Genomic DNA, 20,049 nt, shown 5'->3' with positions numbered 1-20,049 from the left:
ACTCATACAGTAGCATTTATATCATATTCTGCCAGTCAAGGCAAGCCACTTTGCCAACCCAGATTCAAGAGTTGGGGAAATAGGCTCTACTTCTTAATGGCAGGAGTATCACATTGCAAAGGCCTATGGACCCAAACTAGTTTGATTCACTGGGGATGGCTATTAATATGATCTACCACAGACTACTTTAAGTAAACTGTTTCTATGTGGCCTAGATTGAGTTTGTATTTTGCAGAAACTGAATTCTGCTGGAATGTGCCAGTTAGAATGATCCTAGTGCTGTTATTATATAAACCTTTTTTTTTTGTTGTTCTGTTTCATTGACAGCTTTTCTTAGTGACACTAAAGATCGAGGCCCTCCAGTGCAGTCACAGATCTGGAGAAGTGGTGAAAAGGTCCCGTTTGTGCAGACATATTCCTTGAGAGCATTTGAGAAACCCCCTCAGGTACAGACCCAGGCTCTTCGAGACTTTGAGAAGGTAAGTCATGTGAGTGGATAATTGTTATCCCAATTAGAAGCAGTACTATGGAATAGTGATGCCTGATAAAAATATGACCCATGGATTGGTCCGGATTATGGATGGTATTATCATTATGGTGTCTCTTTCAAGAGCATGTCCCAATAAACATATGCTCTGTCAGCTGTGTGCTGGGGGGTGTGGTTATGGACCCTTGCCTGTACAGCAGTCCCTCCTTTGGATGCCTCAAACTGCATAGTACTGAACCCTATATTTACTATGTCTTTTTCTATACATACATACTTAGGATAAAGTTTAATTTATAAATTAAATGTTAATGAGGCTAACAGTAGTTAATAATAACATAGAACAATTATAACAATATACCAGCATTACTACTCTTGCACTTTTACATTGTTAAGTAAAATAGGAGTTACTTGAACACAAGCGCTGTGATACTGCAACAATCTGATAACCCAGACAGTACTGAGTGACTAACTGGTGGGCGATATATACAGCCTGGATGTGCTGGACAAAGGGATGATTCAAGGGTGAGATAGAGTGGATGGCACGAGATTTCATCATGCTGCTCAGAACAATGTGCAATTTAAAATTTATGAGTTGTTCATTTCTAGAATTTTCTATTTAACATTTTCAGACTGTGGTTGACTGTGGGTAACTGACACCATGGAAAGCAAAACTGTGGATAAGGGGGGACTAACTGTACCAGTAAATGCTGCCTCATCACCTACACCCTTGGTTTACTTCTCAGATAAACTCAGGAAGTTTAAATGGCATTCTGAGAATCTGTAGCTGCAACATAGTGAGCCCAGGAGTCCCGGTCCAGCAGCTAGTATTAAATTCTCTGTTGCTAGCTTGGACCTCTCTCGATATCTAGGAATTGTCTGCAGTGTGCGGTGGCACAGTAACAACCATTTGTTTCTCAACAAGAATCTGATAATGTTGCTTGAACCTCCTGAACCAGTGCTGCATGCTCTGCTTCTTCATATGTTTGTCCTTAGATTTGACCAAAAACAATAACTGATAATGTAATACAGATTCCCCAGCTCCCTGTGAGCTGGGTTGAGCCCAGGAAGTCTGTACAAGAGAGCATGTCTACTGGGATTTAAATAGCCCAGAAACAGGCAGCCAGAATTTCTTACACGCTTGTGCTCTAAAAAAAAAAAAAAAAAGGAAGAAAGAAATAGCTCTTTGGTGCCCCCTCAGGGATACCCAGCAAGCAGGTCCCACATAAATAATGTGTAAATAGTCTGTGAGATACTGGGGTTTCTCTCATTCTGGAATTGGAATTGATAACTTTTGACAGAAAAAAAAAAGTAAAATTCTAATCTCAAAAAATTTTGTGTTGACATGGGTTTACCCCATCTTCCCTCAATTTGTAAGTAGAAATATTTCACCAATACTTTCTGTACATCTTACCAGATATTTCTGTGGGCAAAGGATATGCACCATATAACATGTGCCTAAGAATTAACAGCCTATTCTTCAAATTTTATGCTTAGCATTCTCATGTATACTGTGTGTATTTTTTTTTAAGACATGGAGAGTTTGCATGGTAATCAAGAGGCTTTTGAAGACTAAACCTCCAAACAGCTGTGTGGTGCTGGTGGGGGAAGCAAGGATGCTAACACCCCAACCCCCTCCTTTTTTTGTTTTTTTTTTTTTCACCTTTTGGATCTGCTGTGATGCAGAAAGGGCAAGCAGAGCTGCAGAGCTCCTCAAAACTGTGTGGGGTGCTCTCCAAAGGCGAGCCAGTCTGCATGTTCCTTTTCATTGAGAGATGACTGGAAATATAGAAATGAGGGGTGTCACCTCCATTGAAAGAATGGGTGGCAGATATAAGGCCCAAAGTCCTTTTCTTTTAGAGTTTAGATCTAATATGACAGATTAGTCCTTATTTCTCGATGCTGGGAAACACTGACAGAAACCAAGCTAAGACGCAGGGAAAAGGCCAATAAGAGATAGTTTAAATCTCTCTCTGCTATGTGTCAAATAAAAAGTAAATAAAGAGGCTACAACCCACTTCAGGCTTGATCAGAAAGTCATTGCCGGTAAATCATGCAGTGTTGTGTCACACGTTTGTTCATTTTCATATCCATTCATCCATCCTGTGGACTCTGAATGACAGCACCTAAAATACAAAACGCCTCCGTGAAAGGGTTTAAAAATTAGAGAAAACATTGGTTAGAAAAAATATAGGAGAGATAGGAACACATTACTATGCCCTACCCTAAAAATGGTAAAATACTAAATAACATGGTATTTTCTGTAAAGTTTAAAATATGCATTCGATAGCCTTGGGATATAGGATAGGTAGCAGTACTCAGAGAGAGGAAGGGACATGCTAAATGTTTTTTGCCAATGTAGGGTCGACTCCTCCAGGGCTTAAAGACAAAGGGATACAGGCCTGGAAGAAGCAGCCAGGAATCCCTTCTTATTTCATTTATCCATGCAACAAACACATGATCACATTAAATGAGATACTTTAGTTCCTGCCCTTAGATAGTTATAGTCTATTTGGAAGTACAGACATTGCATTAAATACAATATAGCATGGCAAGTGCTTTCATAGAGATAAGGACAGTACACTCTGAGATCTTGAGAGAAAATGTCTACTTTTATTAAAGGAGTAGGGAAAGGCCTCTTACCAGAGGACATTTCTCCTGGGGGCTTCACGTTGAGCAGGGTCTCCAAAGCTGAGTTAGATTTTACTAGTCAGAGAAGTAGAGTATAATATTCCAGACAGAGGGGAGATTTGGGGGAAGAAAGAGAGATATGTTCAAATAAGAGACTGGACTATAGAGAGGTAAGAAAAAGAGAGTTAGAACAGGAGAGAAGTAATATTAAAAGTACTCAATCTGTCAAAAGTAATTATAATTGTTCAGTAATGCAGTTACCTCTAAAATGTTTGCTGATGTAGGAAATTCTAGAGAAAAAAAGGCCCTTTGATTACAGGGAAAGAGATAACAGACTAAAAATGCAAATACTGGCACATTATGGAACCAAAACATAATTAGTCAATTAACAAGCGAAAATGACAATTATCTTTATGTTGGTGTAGAAAAAAGGGACAAAGAAAGCAACATTTCCAACATACAACAGTGTTTCTTTTCTTTCATTCTCCACCCACAACCAACAGCATGGTTGTATGTGTATACAAACTCCAATTGTATGTTTGTCAGGTTGAGGTCAATAGGTATTACACTCCATGATGAAAGGAGGGCATTGCTTAGCATATATGCTTCATTTGTATTTTTGAATGAGTGAGTGATTTAATTAATTTCCCAACCTTACCAACTTCGTTATGTAGGCGCTTTTCCCCACTCAGAGAATCCACTGATGAAGGGATTCTCTGTGGGTTTAGTGTATTGAGCAGTGGGTTTAGTGTATTGAGCAGTGGGTTAAGTGTATCTCATAAGTTGTTTTATTTTGTCTTTATAAGACACGGAACAAGCATCACTCTCCCCATTTTTTAAGTGAGGGAACCAGGACTCACAGAAATTGTGACTTTTTCAGGGCCATAAGTTTATGTACCATGATCATAAATCTGAACACATTATTGGATCAGAAATAAATTTTACCTACAAATGGTCACAATGATGTGTTGAGAAAAATCCCTTGCCCTATGCTTTCTCACTGATCACAGCACCCAGCTGCAGCATCTCTGGAATGAGCAAGACTTCAGCAGCACATACATAATACTGGCTAGCATTTGATGATCACTTTCTATGTGGCAGATATTGCTCTAAGTATGTGACAGCATGATCTCATTTACAACAACCTTGTGAAAAGGCATGTTCACCAGTTAGAATGACGATCATTAAAAATCAGGAAACAACAGGTGCTGGAGAGAATGTGGAGACATAGGAACGCTTTTACACTGCTGGTGGGAGTGTAAATTAGTTCAACCATTGTAAAAGACAGTGTGACAATTCTTCAAGGATCTAGAACTAGAAATACCATTTGACCCAGCAATCCCATTACTGGGTATATACCCAAAGGATTATAAATCATTCTACTATAAAGACACATGCACACGTATGTTTATTGCAGCACTATTAACAATGGCAAAGACTTGGAACCAACCCAAATGCCCATTAATGTTAGAATGGATAAAGAAAATGTGGCACATATACGCCATGGAATACTATGCAGCCATAAAAAAAGAATGAGTTCATGTCCTTTGCAGGGACGTGGATGAAGCTGGAAACCATCATTCTCAGCAAACTAACACAGGAACAGAAAACCAAACACCCTATGTTCTCACACATAAATGGGAGTTGACTAATGAGAACACATGGACACAGGGAGGGGATCATCACGCACAGGGGCCTGTCAGGGGCCGTGGGGCAAGGTGAGGGATAATATTAGGAGAAATACCTAATATAGATGACGGGTTGATGGGTGCGGCAAACCAACATGGCACACGTATACTGTGCAACAAACCTGCACGTTCTGCACATGTATCCCAGAATTTCAAATATAATAAAAAAAAGAAAAGCCATGATTATTATTCCAGTTTACAAATGATGAACTAATGGCAAAAAGAATAACAAAGGAACTTGCCCAATAACTCATGATTGAGCCTGAAAACACCTGATGTCTTTGTGACCTAAAGATAGTGGGCATGTCCTATGTTGGGGAACTCAGCTGGTGAAAGTTTGGTGCTAATGAAGGTGTTGGCTTATTTGGAAATGGAATCACTAGTTCCTCCTATTTAGATTGATGCAGATTGAAATTCTACCAGATTCCTGCCTCTCTAGGTAAACTGTAAATCCACTTTTTTCTTCCAATATTCTCTATTACATGATTTTTACTCTATTAATTCTGAACTGCTTGCAATTCAAAGCTGTTTCATACTTTCATTTATTTGTACCTGCTGTTCCCTCTGCCTTGAAAACCTTTTCTCTCCTATTGTTTATTTGGTTAAAGTTTACTCATCCTTCAAGATTCAGCTCAGGTGCCTTTTTAAATTTATTTATTTTTTAATTTTAGGATGCCTTCTCTTACTCTCTAATCCCAGAATATATACCAAGACTCTAAGCTCCTTGAGGGCAGAAAACACCTCTTGCCCATTCTTTTCTAGTCTCTAGAATATAGCATAATGTAGTACATAGTAAGTGCTCAGTAAATATTCATCAACTAAACTAGCTGAAAAGTATTAAAAATTAGATATCCTATTGGATTTGTATCTCTTCTGCCTCTACCTGGTATTCACAATAAGTTGAACAGTTTTAAGGAGGGTATTGGCGTGTTAATTGATTGGGTAGGATGGGAAACTAGGAAGTCAAGAAATGTACATTTCTTTTCCACTTTATTTTTTTATTGTTCATTTTTTTTGAGAAGGAGTCTTGCTGTGTCACCCAGGCTGGAGTGCAGTGGTGCAATCTCAGCTCACTGCAGCCTCTGCCTCCTGGATTCAAGCAGTTCTCCTGCCTGAGTAGCTGGGACTACAGGCTCCCGCCACCACACCCGGCTAATGTTTTGCATTTTTAGTAGAGATGGAGTTCCGCTATGTTGGTCAGGCTGGTCTCCAAATCCTGGCCTCAAGTGGTCCACCCTCCTTGGCCTCCCAAAGTGCTGGAATTTCAGGCGCGAACTACGCGCCTGGCCTCTTTTCCACTTTAAATGGAACGATAAAACTAAAAATGAAAAGGACGGGAGAGAAAGAGTCTTTTTGAAATAATATTTGACAGGATTTATTAAGAAGATCACAATAGTAGCTAATAACAATAAATACTATTTGAGTGCTCATTATGCACCAGGTACTTTTCTAGATATTTGACATATTTAATTTAGTGTATTTTCAGTTCATTTTCCTAACTTATGAGATAGATATTATTTTTACAACCATTATACTAGTGAAGAGATCAAGGTTCAAATAACTTGCCCAAAGTTATATAAGAATAAAGTAACGGAACCACTGTAACTCCAATGATTCCAAAGCTCTTGGGGAAATGAAAGGACTCTCAGAGAAGGAGAGCATTACATTGGTGGAATGCCTGCATTTGGGTTTTTTACATAGAATCAACATGGCAGACGGTACAGAAAAGCCACGGAAGGGTGGGAGTCTTTGGCTATAAAATCAAGAGGGGGCCTCCACTGCCCTGTCCTGTTTACACATTTTTCTAATAATGTTGTCTTTAACAAGAAAATATCATCAAAACCAGCTATAGTGTATGCCTAACTGTACTCTGCAGCTTTCCTTGGCAGTCTGAATCTAACCGCAGTGAGTCAGCCTGTTCAGGTCCCACCCATCCTGGTGAACTTTTCCACTTGAATCTTGAAGTCTTTGGGGAGAAAAAAGAAGAAAAAAAGTGCTAAAAGCAGAAGGCTTTTTCATTTTGGGGAGTTTCTGGAGCTCTGAGTTATCACAGTCTGGGTAACCTGTGCTAATTTAGGTTAATTGGGGTCCTGTCACTGCCCTCTTTATGTTCCACAATTTTGGTGCTTCTCGAGTGTTTCTCTCTAATTACAGCCTTGGAAAATGAATACTACTAGTGAAGTGCATTTTTATTTTAAAAAAATGCATTCATTCTTCCAAACCACAGTGTCCCAAACATACTGGTTTTGTTTTCACTGGTATCTTAAGACATTCAAAAAGTTACTAGGAGGCAGGGGGTAAATATTAAACTTTCAGCAATCACAAGTGCAGTTTGTTTTCCCTTTTCAATCTCATGTTTAAAAAGGGAAACAGAAGGCTTCCACACACAGGCATTCCACAGACTTTCCATGCAAAGTTTTCTTTCCTAAGCAACATTACCAAAGATATGAATCAAATCAATTACTTTTTTTCTTATAGAACTACAGAGTAAAAGGAATGCTTCTGAGTGCTGTAGAATATACAAAGATGGACATGAGATTCCATTCTCAAAGAATGTACAATCTGATTGGGGCATAAAAAAATTTAAATTATACAAGATTTAATTTAAATAACATCTAAGGCAATATTGAAAGAGATATTTCAAGATGGGAGTACTTGCCAAACTAATGTATGTTTTTAAAACTTAAATATGGCGAGGTGTGGTGATCATGCCTGTAATTGCAGCACTTTGGGAGGCTGAGGTGAGCGAATCACCTGAGGTCAGGAGTTCGAGACTAGCCTGGCTAACATGGTGAAACCCCATCTCCATTAAAAATACAAAAATTAGCTAGGCATGGTGGCACACGCCTGTAATCCCAGTTACTCAGGAGGCTGAGGGAGGAGAAGCGCTTGAACCCAGAGGGCAGAGGTTGCAGTAAGCCGAGATCGAGCCACCGCACTCCAGCCTGGGCGACAAAGCGAGACTCTGTCTCAAATAAATAAATAAATCTTAAATACTGGGATAGAACATTTTTTTCTAATTTGTGCACGCGCGTGTGCGTGTGTAAACTTTTCAAAGTTGTAAATATTAGCTTACATTTGGTCATGCAATTAATAAAGAAACTTTATCAAAAAGAATGAAATTACAAAAGTTGGAAAACCCTGAACATTCTGAAAGGTATGATTACCAACACAGAAAAGAGAGCAACCACTTTCACAGAGAATGTAGCACTTGAATTAGAATAATTCTTTTCGTAATTTTAAATTATCTCCTTTCTGTCTCCTCATTAAAACTTGTTTTCTTCTCTTCTCCCGTTGTTCAAAGAGAAGCCTTATCTTTCTTTCTGTGGACTTTGCAAAGTTTCCATTCTAATGATAATTTCCATTCCAATACTAAATTTAAAAAATAGCAACAAAGATCATGATACCAATTAATATTTGTAAGTGCTTACAGTGTGCCAAGTTCTGAGAATGCGCTTGACCTTATTATCTTATTCAGTTCTCCTAATAGTCTTTTGAGGTTGGTACAACCATTGTCTTTGTTTGTAGAGAGACACTGAAGCTAGGAAAACACTAGTAATTGATGGCAAGTGCTGGAGCTGGGATTTGGACATAAGTGTACTGGTTCTAGTGCCTAAACTCTTAGCCACAATTTTATTATGCTTACTGATAGCTGACCCCCTTATTCATTTGTTAATCCACTCATCCATTTATGAGTGCATCGTGTGTGCCAGGCCATGTTCTAGCTGTTAGTTGCACAATGATCAAGAATGAATGTATGAAAATATGTATTTTCGGCCGGGCGTGGTGGCTCACGCCTGTAATTCCAGCACTTTAGGAGGCTGAGGCAGGCGGATCACCTGAGGTCAGGAGTTCGAGACCAGCCTGGCCAACATGGTAAAACCCTGTCTCTCCTAAAAATACAAAAATTAGCCAGGTGTGGTGGTGCACACCTGTAATCCCAGCTACTCAGGAGGCTGAGGCAGGAGAATCGCTTGAACCCAGGAGGCAGAGGTTGCACTGAGCTGAGATTGCCACTGTACTCCAGCCTGGGTGACAGAGCTAGACTCCGTCTCAAAAAAAACAAAAAAAAGAAAATGTATGTTCAAGGATGAGTGTTTATATTTCAGTATTCTCTATACCAATACAATATTAGTACTCAAGGTGAGGATTATTTCAAGTGTGGAATATATATACAATAGAACATTATAGAGCAATGTACTGACTTGGGAGGATGTCCATTATAACAAATTTAAGATTAAACAAAACAACGGCAACAACAATTTGACTGAATATTACAAAAAATAAGATCTCATTTTTGAGGGAGAAAAGATGGAAATGTCTGGAAGGATACATACCAAAACATTGATATTGATTATGTCTGGATGATGGAATTAGCCTATTGCCTTCTTTATAACTGAGTATTATATTTATTTTAATTATCTATTCATTGAAAAAATATTCTAGTGCTTTTACTATGTGCAGCATACCTTAAGCATTGCAGATACAATATTGAATAGGCAAACATGGTTCCTGCCTTCATAGAGTCTACAGATTAGCAAATTCCAACAGAATGTAATTATTATTGTAATAGAAATAAAGAGTGCTATGGAATATATAACTGGGCACTTACTCAATCTGAAGAGATTGGGGGATTCAGGGAAAGTTTCCTAGAGGAAACTGCATCTAACCAGGGTCCTGAAGAAGGAATAAGAAGTAGCCACTAATAAGGGGGTGGTAGTGTGAGAATGAAGAAGGTTCCATGCATAGGAAATAGCTTGAATCAAGATCCCGATGAGAGAAAGAACCATAGTCAGTATTCCTAGAGAATGGGATGTAAGGAATGCAGAGAACTGAAACCAGAGAAAAGAGAGAGGAGTCATCATACAGAGTCTTGCAAGTTATGTAAAGGCTTTTAAATTTTATCTGAGCTCAAGGGAACTGCTGAAAGCTTTTAGACAGAGAGGTGACATGATCAGATTTTCCTCTTAGAAAGATCCTTTTGGCTTCCTTATGGCCTCTGCATAGGAGGAGTAGTCTAGAGGCAGAGAAAACAGTTGCAGTATTCCAGGCAAAGGTTGGTGGAGATGCCAGTATAAAAATTAGAGAAATGGACAGGTGAAAGAAATTTCAGAGGCAGAATTGATAGAGCTAAGCCATTGACTGGATGTAGAACCAGTGAGGCTGAAGAAACCCAAAGATGACAGATCACCAATTCATCTCTTCACTCACATCCTACCCACTGTCACCTTGTCGTAAACTTTCAGACTACCTTCACCTCTCTCTTCAATAACGTGAGTTATTTGTTCAAAGTCTGCCTTTTCTGTTAGAACATGAGCTCACTATAGCAGGGACAGTGGTTGTCTTTTCACTTCTAGATACAGTGATTAGCATAATGCCTGGTACATAGTAGGCATGCCCTTTTCTTTTCTTCTTTTTTGTTTGTTTTGAACGAATAAATGATGTCAAGTTTTCTTGCTTGGTCAACTACTAGGTTATGCCCTCCACTGAGAAAGAGAACAACTGGAACAGGCACATGTAGTACTTTTATGACCATTGAAGCAACAGCAACACAAACAAAAAACAGTAAAGCGATTTCTGTTTTTGGAAGAAAAGTAAAGAAGATTCTTCCTGTTGTTAAGGAACTCCAGATCTACTGGGGAGAGAGTCAAACAGATAATCCCAATATACTGTGAAATGGGCCACAATAAGAGTAGGTCCGCAGTGCTGTGGAAGCATTCAGGAGAAGCCCTTGCCCAGGCATTAAGGCCAGATAGGTTTCTTTTAGTAGGTAATATCTGACTTAGATCCTTATGGGTGAGTTGGGATTAGTTAAGTGAGAGATGGGTGGGAATTGAAGAGAAGTGAAATTCTAGGCTAATGCTGCTACCCATGCAAAGTCCTGGAGGCAGCATGAGCCTGGTGAATTCAGAAATAGGAGGCTTTCTGTCATGGATGGAGCAAGGGAGGGTCAATCGGGGTTCATGTTGGCTCTATCTTTTCCCTTATCCCCCTACTTCTGGTCAAGGCATTATTGTTGCAGCCATGTGCATTCATGGTATCACTGTGGACTCTTGGTTTTTGGTTTTGTTTATTATTTTTTTTTTTTTAGACATGGTCTTGCTCTGTCATCCAGACTTGAGTGCAGTGGCACAATCTTGGCTCACTGCAGCCTCGACCTCCCGGATTCAAGTGATCCCCCACCTCAGCTTCCTGAGTAGCTGGGACTACAAGAACATACCATCACGCCTGGATAATTTTGACTTTTTAAAACTTTATTTTATTTATTTATTTGAGATGGAGTTTCACTCTTGTTGCGCAGGCTGGAGTGCAATGGCGTGATCTCCACTCACTGCAACCTCTGCCTTTCGGGTTCAAGCGATTCTCCTGCCTCAGCCTCCTGAGTAGCTGGGATAACAGGCATGTGCCACCACACTGGCAAACTTTGTATTTTTTGTAGAGACGGGGTTTCTCCATGTTGGTCAGGCTGGTCTCGAACTCCTGACCTCAGGTGATCCACCCACCTTGGCCTCCCTAAGTGCCACTGCGCCTGGCCTGTTTTTTTATTTTTTGTAGAGATGGGGTCTCACTGTGTTGCCCAGGCTGGTTTCAAGCTCCTAGCCTCAAGCAATCCTCCTGCCTTGGCCTCTCAAAGTGTTGGGATTGGCATCTCAAAGTGTTTGAGCCACCACACCTGGCAACTCTTAGCTCTTGTGGCCAGAGCAGGTCGTAGTCATGCCTTCAAAATTGCCTTCACTCCTAGAAAAAAATGGAGAAAGGATTATTTAAAATCTAGAGAAAAAGGTGAGCCCATAAGTCACTCTCTCTGAATTCCAGAAGCTCAGCAAATAATCTGAGTTGGACCAATTGTGAACAAATACCAAGTCCTGCTGATGTTGATTGGACCAAAGTGATGGAGAATCTAGTTTGGAGTCTGGTAATCCTTGGGAGGCCCCAGCATCACTGCAGCTCAACTGTCATTCCTGCCTTGCAGCTCATTTAACTGCCTCTGGCAGCACTATTTCTGGCTGGGCCATCTATTTTTGGTGGCCAGGGAAGTTGTTATTTGTTTCATTTTGTTTTGATGTGGTTTACAGTGCTCTAGTGTGATGATGAAGCTAACATCTGGTTATTCCAGGATTGGGGGTGTTGTGGGTGTGTTTCTATGTTGGGGAAGGCAGCAGGAACATCATCTTAACTCCTTTTCTTTATCCACATGATGAGGCTGCCTAAGACGGGGTTTATTAATCAACCTGATGCAATAGCTCTGTCATTAGTGCTCTTGTTATCAGGCAAGAAAAGGCTGTGTACAGGATGGGTATCAGTATGCTTCTGAGTGTTAGGGGAAAAAATGGAATGGTATTGTTAATATTTTAGCATTTAAGAGACTCTGGAACTTCAGGAATTATGTTAAAATTTCAGAAACAGAGTTTTAGAAGGGTGACTTGTTTGTTGATTGTACAATCCAAAAGAAAAAAGCAGGACTTTGTGGAATTCATAGTCAGTTTTCTGAAGCAGGTATCAGTAGTTGGCTTCTGAGACAAGGGCAGAAACACCATGTTGGCATAAAAGAGTTGATGAGTGGAACACCAAGTTGGTTGGCTCTGGTTGACATTTTCCTTGGTAGAATGTGGTGTGTGAAAATTACACATATTTTTCAGAACAGGCCAAATACGTATGTTTTATGTCAAAACATAGGTCATGTGTTTCTGTTTTATCTGAGGGTTATCACAAAACTTTACCTTTTTGTAAAACTTAATCTGTGAATATTCAGTACTGAGAGCCACTTAGAGCATACTTTGTCTGACCCTTCTTTTAGGGCCCTATAATATAGGTAGGATTGGTATACAGAATATTTAGACATGATTCATTCTAAGCCATTTAGCTTTAACTGAACTGAATCAAATTGGACTTTAACTGAGTCTTTATCATTAAAAAAACTCTTATAAAAGATAAAGGATTGGGTTAGTTACTTCTCTCAGCTTTGGTTTATTTCTTTGTCTTCTTTTGAAAACAAAGCTTTATTCAAACGATTAACACGCTGTACAGCTCATCTTCTGAAATCTTACAATTCTATGATTTTAGTGTATTCACAGAGTTGTGCAACCATCACACTGTCTAATTCCAGTACCTGTTTCTCACTCCAATAGGAAACCTCATACTCATTAACACTCACTTCCCAGTTTCCCTCTCCCTGGTTCCTGGAAACCACTAATCTACTTTCTGCCTGGATTTGCCTATTCTGGACATTTCATATAAATGGAATTATACAGTATGTGACCTTTTGTGTCTGGCTTCTTTCACATTATCGTATAATGTTGTCAAGGTCATTTATGTTGTAGCATGTATCAGTACTTCATTCCTTTTTATGGCTGAGTAATATTCTATGATTTGGATATGCTAAATTTTGTTTATCCATTCATCAGTTGAAGGACATTTGAAATACTTCCAATTTTGGCTATTATGAGTAATGCTGCTATGAACATTTGTATATAAGATTTCACGTGGCCATATGTTTTCAATTTTCTTGGGTATATAACTAGGAAAGGAATTGCTAGGCCACATGGTAACTCTTTGTTTAACCCTTTGAGAGCCAACTTTAGTTTATTCATCTTGAAAATGAAGAAAACAATTTTTTTTTTTTTTTTACATAGATCCAGGTTGTCAGATCCTTTAGGGTCACCACCAGGAAGATTATTTACAGTGAAGGACACTTTTTGAAAAGGTATAGGGGGCCTGAGGTAGAAGAGGGAATACCCAGTTGCAAGTGAATCCCAGGCTCAGAAGGGTCATACAGTCTCATGATTAAGGCCCTGATGCGTATGCAGTATGGGGTCAAACTGTTGGAGTTATAGTCTGTGCTCCTCCGCTTTCTCAGTGAACAAGTCAGTTAACCTCCTGATGTCTCTCTGTCCTAGGCAGTAAAATGGGGATCATCATGTCTTCCTACTTCAAAGGTTGTGGTAAAGATAAACGAAATAATACACATGGAAGTACTTTGTACATTGTCAAAACCAATGTAGATGATTGTTGTTGTGAAGATAGCATAATTGTATCTGATTAATTTTGTAATACAGGCCCAAGTCATTCAAAACAGCCAGGAATTAAACTTTTTATTTGTATAATTCAGATTTTATGAGAACAGCATAGAGACGCCTAGACACAGAGATGTATTATAAATAAAATATGTGTATGTAAAATAAACCAGCCGTCTCTTCTTCCTGCCCCATCTCTTCTTGTCTATCCCCATCCCCAATCCAAAATAAGCTGGGCTCCTGGTTGTAGTTCCCTGGGTGCTAAAAAGCAGGAAATACTCCCCAGACATTTGTGTACCCTTCCCATAGGGCTGTTTTGAAAATATGACAATTAGCAAAGTTATAGGTTAAATCGTCTATTGGGCATCATCCTTGAGTCATTGTTACTGCTTTTGTCTTAGAAATATGGCGTCCTTTACATGCACTTACTGCTTCTGTAGCACAAGGCAGCCAGAGCTCTCAGTCTGAACAGGTAGACTCTCATTACCTTTTAGGGCTACAGGAGAGCTAGTGGGCATTCTGAAATTCTTCGCAAAGTGATAGTTCTCTCACTGGCCTTTGGTAGGAGCGTTTCTATGAGAAAATGTGTTTCAAGCATAGAATTTCGGGATGGCCAAAGATCTTAAAAGCCCTCTAGAGCTAACTCCTAGCTGATGTGGGAAAACTTTTAACAGTATCCCTGAAAGGCGATTCTTGAGTTTTGGTCAAGCACCTTTTGTGACAGGAAGTTTATTTTGTCTCATGATGTATGTACTCAGTAAAAATTTGATGTATAAACATATGGATAGAGTGTGGCAATATCTTTATTACATCTAACTCTACTAGAGAATTCATCCTTATATCTAATTGATAACTGCCTCCCTGTAATTCCTACTTTCATTCCCTTTAAAATAGTTTTAAAAATTATAAGCTGTTTTACAAACAACAGGAATATACAAAGAATAATTAAACACTTGTCCATGTGTTGAATATCTAAATGTTAGAAAACATTATTTTTAGTTTATTTTCCTCAGGTGAAAAAACAAAAGTTACCATTACAGATACAGTTGCAACCTTCTTAGTATCCTGCCCAGATCCCAGTCTTCTGACTGTCTTCCTATACTTAACTATTAAGTAGTTTCCCCAAAACGACCCAATGAGAAAAAAGGAGAGCCGGGATTTGAACGTTGGTCTTCATGGTTCAAAGCTATTGCTCTTTTCACAGTTCCACGCTACCCACCCTAGATAAATATGTATAATAGTGATCATATTTATTGTCTATGTGTAAATTGATGTAAAGTGTCAAGGGTTACTTAAAGCACTACTCTTCTGTTTTTCTATTTGCCATATTAACTTATTTTTAAAATATTTTTATTTTCAAGGAAGGTAAAGGTAAGAATTATCCACAGATATCAAATTAGTACAGTTAAAATTGTGGAAGTTTGATTATATTTGAAAAGAATGTGTCCATTAAGAAGATTAATCATTTTTTGTTAGTGAAGCTTTATTTTTAGGAGAAAGATTGGTAAACAATTAATATGTTTTCAAGTACGTACATTATATGAGCTAGCTGGGGGGTCTGAATATGATGAAGCAAATGTCAAGCTGGGTTTTTTAAAGGCAGACTTGACAGTTGGTTGTGTTAATGGGGCATGACAGGCAACAGCTGGGTGGTAATCCTCCTCCTACTGTTGGCATTGATTGAGTCTTTATTTACGTTGTATTTCTAGTCTGGACTAGAACGTTATTCCAGGGGTGGAATGAAGAAATTAAGGAAAAAGAAGGGGAGAGCCATTAAGGTTTGGAAGAAACATTCTGAGACCAGAGTAAAGATGTTATATGTACTAGGAGAAAAAGGAAGAACAAAGATAGAAGCACTTCCCCTTGCTCAAGAATCTGCAGTGTTTTATTTCCTAAGCAATGCAGAGGTTATCAACATATAGGCCTGTTTGCCATGAGCTAGTAGGTTGCTGTGTGCATCTCAGGTATGTGTGTTTTTGTTTGTTAAAGCTTTTTTTTTCTTTTCCAAGTTTCCACATGCAGCGCTGATGTTTGTTAAAGCTGCAAGAAAACAAATAAGTAAAACGAAACCTAAGCAATACACAAAGAAAATAATCTTCCCAGTCAGCAGTTCCTGGCCCTCCCCACCCCCACTGCCCTCCTCCCCACCTCCACTTCCCTTCCCCTCACTCTTATCCAGATTGAGAGCCAGGATCCTGGAGGGGCAAACTCCAGGCTTCTCACCCTGGCTTTCAAGATCTCCTTGAGATGGCTTTTTATTTCCCCTCATCTCTGTGGCCTATTTCAGGACAGTATGTGCCCTTTGCTTTGGCCTGGTGGGCACACTGCCCTTTCGCTTATGTTCCACCTGCCTGGACTGCCTTGTGTTCTCCCCACTGCCTATCCAAGCTCAACTCATCCTTTGAGACAAGCTAAAGTGCCAATTCTCTGTGGTACCTTCTCTGGCCACCTCTCCTTCCTAATTTTTATAGTTTTTACTTTTTTTTTTTTCTGAGACGGAGTCTTGCTCTGTCACCCAGGCTGGAGTGCAGTGGCATGATCTCCGCTCACTGCAACCTCTACTTTCCAGGTTCAAGCAATCATCATGCCTCAGCCACCTGAGTAGCTGGGACTACAGGCACATGCCACCACGCCCGGCTAATTTTTGTATTTTTAGTAGAGACGGAGTTTCACCATGTTGACCGGGCTGGTCTTGAACTCCTGACCTCATGCGATCTGCTCACCTGGGCCTCCCAAAGTGCTGGGATTACAGGCATAAGCCACCGTGCCTGGCCCAGTTTTTACTATTTGTACCGTTCATATTGTCCTTTATAATTTGTCATATACGATTCCATATTTGTTCGGAACTGTTGTAGAAAGTCCAGATTCTGCATGGTGTATTAAAATGAGTCTGTTAGAATAATTTATTTTACTTATAATCTTTTTATAAGGAGGAATGCTATTAGGTATGCTTTTTATCCTAAAACATCTACATAATCTTGTGTATCGATTAAGTTGTATTACTCCAATGAGAAATAAATCAGCAGGTTAATTACTCATCCATTGTTTAATTCAACAAATATTTATTGAGCACCAGCTATGTATCAGGCACCATTCTGGGCACTGGTGACACAGCAGTGAACAAACTAAGAAAACATCCCACTTTTCTCAGGAAGTTTACATGCTGGTGGGGAGAGACAGACAAGAAACAAAATAAATAAGAAAATGTATTTTAGAAGGTGATAGTGCTACGGAATAAAAAACAATGAAGGGGGATTCGGAGAGCTGGGATGAGGCATGGGGTGCCTAAAGAGTATTCACTTCATGAAGAAGGTGACATTCAATCAAAGATGAAGAAGGTGAGGAGAGAATCGTGCACCTCCCTAGAGAAAGGGCAGCCAGGCAGAAGGGTCAAGTTCAAAGGCCTCGGAAAAGAAAGCTTCTCTTGCTTCCTGTTTTTGAGAAATAACAAAGAGAAACAGTGTAGCTACAGCAGAGAACAGAGAGAGAGTGGTAGGAAGAAGTAGAGGAGGTAATAGGAGAGGCAAGAAGAGGGTGTAGGGCCTCAGGCCTTGCAGTCTGGTGAAGGGACATCACCTTTCACTCTAAGTTAGATGGGAAGCCAGGGGGCTCTCCAGCAGAGGAGTAATCTGACGTATTTTGAAAGGGTCACTGTGGCTGCTGTGCTGAGAATAGACTACAAGGGAACAAGAGTGGGAGCAGGAACACCAGTTAAGGGGCTATTCAGATCATGTAAGGAAAAGATGGCAGTACTGTGGGTCAGGGTGGTAGAAATACCAGTGGCAGTAGTGGTAGTATAACATATATATAAAATATATATATAGTAGTATAATAGTATATATAATATAGTATTATATATTACATACATAATACAACAGCTACAACATATATATTATACTACCATATATGTTATTAATATATATACTATAATGTATAATATACATAGTAAGATTTACAGACAGATGATATGTAGGAGAGAGAATGAATCAAGAAATGATTCAAAGGTTTGGGCTCAAAAATCTGAAAATATTGAGTTGTTACAAATTGAAAAAAGGTGTAGTGAGGGAGGAGCATGTTTACTGGGAAAGATCAGGAGTTCAGTTTTAGATATCACAAGTATGTGATGTCTAAATTCAAGCAGAGATTTCTACTAGACAGTCAGATATCAATTGGAGTTCAGGGAAAAGATCAGGGTGGGCATGTAAACTTAGAAATGTAAGTGAACAAAACGTCATTTTTCTACGTATTCTAGAATAAGTGTTCTACCAAATATAGTTTATTTAGGACTATTAAAACAAACTTTTTTCATATTATTGGAAATCTATGAGAATAATACAGGTGAGCCAGCCCATATATAACAAAGCAAAACGTACAATGTTTATGGAATATTTTCCTGTTCATTGATTCCACAGATATTTAGGGAGTGCTTCCTGAGTACTATGCAACAAGAATACAAGGACACAAAATATGCCTTGTCAGCTCTCAAAACACTCTAGCCAGGTTGAGGTCATCGTAAACAGACTGTGACAGCACAATGGGATGAATGCTGTTGGAGAGGTCTCAGGTTGTTATGGAAGCTGTAGGAGTTTATGAAGATGTATTAGTTAGTCATTGACTTTTTCCTTGGGCAGCTTCAGACTAGTTGGAAAGATCAAACACACAAAAAGTCGCATAACTCTAAAAGATGTAAATAACCCTTGAAGATAACAAAAGCCACGTCATAAGGCAGCATATGAACACTTGTTGAATGTTAATATCTGCCTTAGAGTTCAAAAGAGGAAGAAGTCTTTCCAGGCTAGGGTAAGAGGAAAGGCTTTGCTTGGGTGGAATTTGGGAACACTCAAGTTGAATGATCTAAGCCAAGAGTTGAATATGTACGGCTAGATCTTGGGTGAGAAGACTCGGTTGGAGATTTGGGAATTGTTTCGAAGGTGAAAGTATAGCCCTAAAAGTGGATAAAACCTCCATGGATAAAAATGTGAAGAGAAAAAAAAGTAGAAGGCTAAGGACTTACCATCATTTAAATACCCACTTTCAGGAGCTGGCAAAAAACACAGAAAAGGATCCAGAGAGATAGAAGAACAAGATATCATGGAGGAAATAAGCATAAATGTCCAACAGAAATCTAGGATGCATAAGAATACCCTGGATTCATACACAGTTTTACTTCCGGTAAAACTTTTATGAAATTATTTTACCTGATAAAGGAATCTAAGTAGACAGCCAAAGCATGATTAAACACTTATCTAAACTCTGGCAGCCTGGCTCCCCTTGAGCAAAATGGAGGTGATATTAACTGGGTTATCACCTTGAAGAGCTTAGACCAGGAAAGGGCCTTAAAAATCACTAATTTTGGCCAGACGCGGTGGCTCATGCCTGTAATCCCAGCACTTTGGGAGGCCAAGGCGGGCGGATCTCAAGGTCAGGAGATCGAGACCATCCTGGCTAACGCTGTGAAACCCTGTCTCTACTAAAACAATGAAAAATTAGCCGGGCGCGGTGGCGGGCACCTGTAGTCCCAGCTACTCAGGAGGCTGAAGCAGGAGAATGGCTTGAACCCGGGAGGCAGAGGTTGCAGTGAGTTGAGATTGCACCACTGCACTCCAGCCTAGGCAACAGAGCAAGACTCTGTCTCAAAAAAAAAAAAAAATCACCAATTTTTAAAGCCATTTCATTTTTTAAGTGAGGACAGTTAGGCTTCTAGAGAAATGGTCTATAACATAGCTATTTAGTAAGAGAACTGGGAATGGAAAAGGATATTTTGAGTTGTTTTAACTTAGACTTTTTTCTTCACTGTCTCTAACTAAGCCTAGTTGGCATTCTCAAATTCTAAGAATTCAGATTTAGTGAAAATAGTTAAATGGATTTTAAATGTGTAGTTTTTTTTTTTTCAAATGGTAAATATTTGGGCTTGCCTATTTTGCCTATTTATAATCTAAATCTATTTGGGAGAATGCTTCACTCTAATTATGTCCTCCTGAGGCCACTTTATCCACTCAAACATTTTTTATTTTTCAAGGCAAAGTGCAAATTCAACTCCTAATGAAGCTTTCTCTGATCACCCCAGTAAGAACTGACTACTCTTTCTTACGGGCTCCCCCAGAGTCAACGCTTTTTAAACTCAGGCTGAAACTTATTAGTGGGTCATGAAATCCGTCGGGTGGGTCACTGGCAGAAAAAGAAATAGGAAATATCAGAGGACATCACACATAGTGATGGTGACAATTACTTT

The 20,049-nt window shown here is 39.3% G+C and overlaps 1 pseudogene across 2 annotated transcripts in view; it reads left to right on the top strand.

Annotated features, from left to right (window-relative positions):
- Positions 1-20,049, top strand: part of PDE4DIPP2 (PDE4DIP pseudogene 2) — a 195,809-nt pseudogene that overhangs the window by 23,350 nt on the left and 152,410 nt on the right. For both annotated transcript variants that reach the window (NR_144517.1, NR_144516.1), the window contains one exon: positions 328-479. The product of NR_144517.1 is annotated as a PDE4DIP pseudogene 2, transcript variant 2 (transcript). The remainder of the gene's footprint in view (positions 1-327; positions 480-20,049) is intronic.

The sequence above is a fragment of the Homo sapiens genome, chromosome 1, assembly GCF_000001405.40.
Source record: "Homo sapiens chromosome 1, GRCh38.p14 Primary Assembly".
NCBI classification, from domain to species: Eukaryota; Metazoa; Chordata; class Mammalia; order Primates; family Hominidae; genus Homo; species Homo sapiens.
The sequence above is the reverse complement of the archived record's forward strand: the minus strand, read 5'-3'. Positions and strand labels throughout refer to the sequence as shown.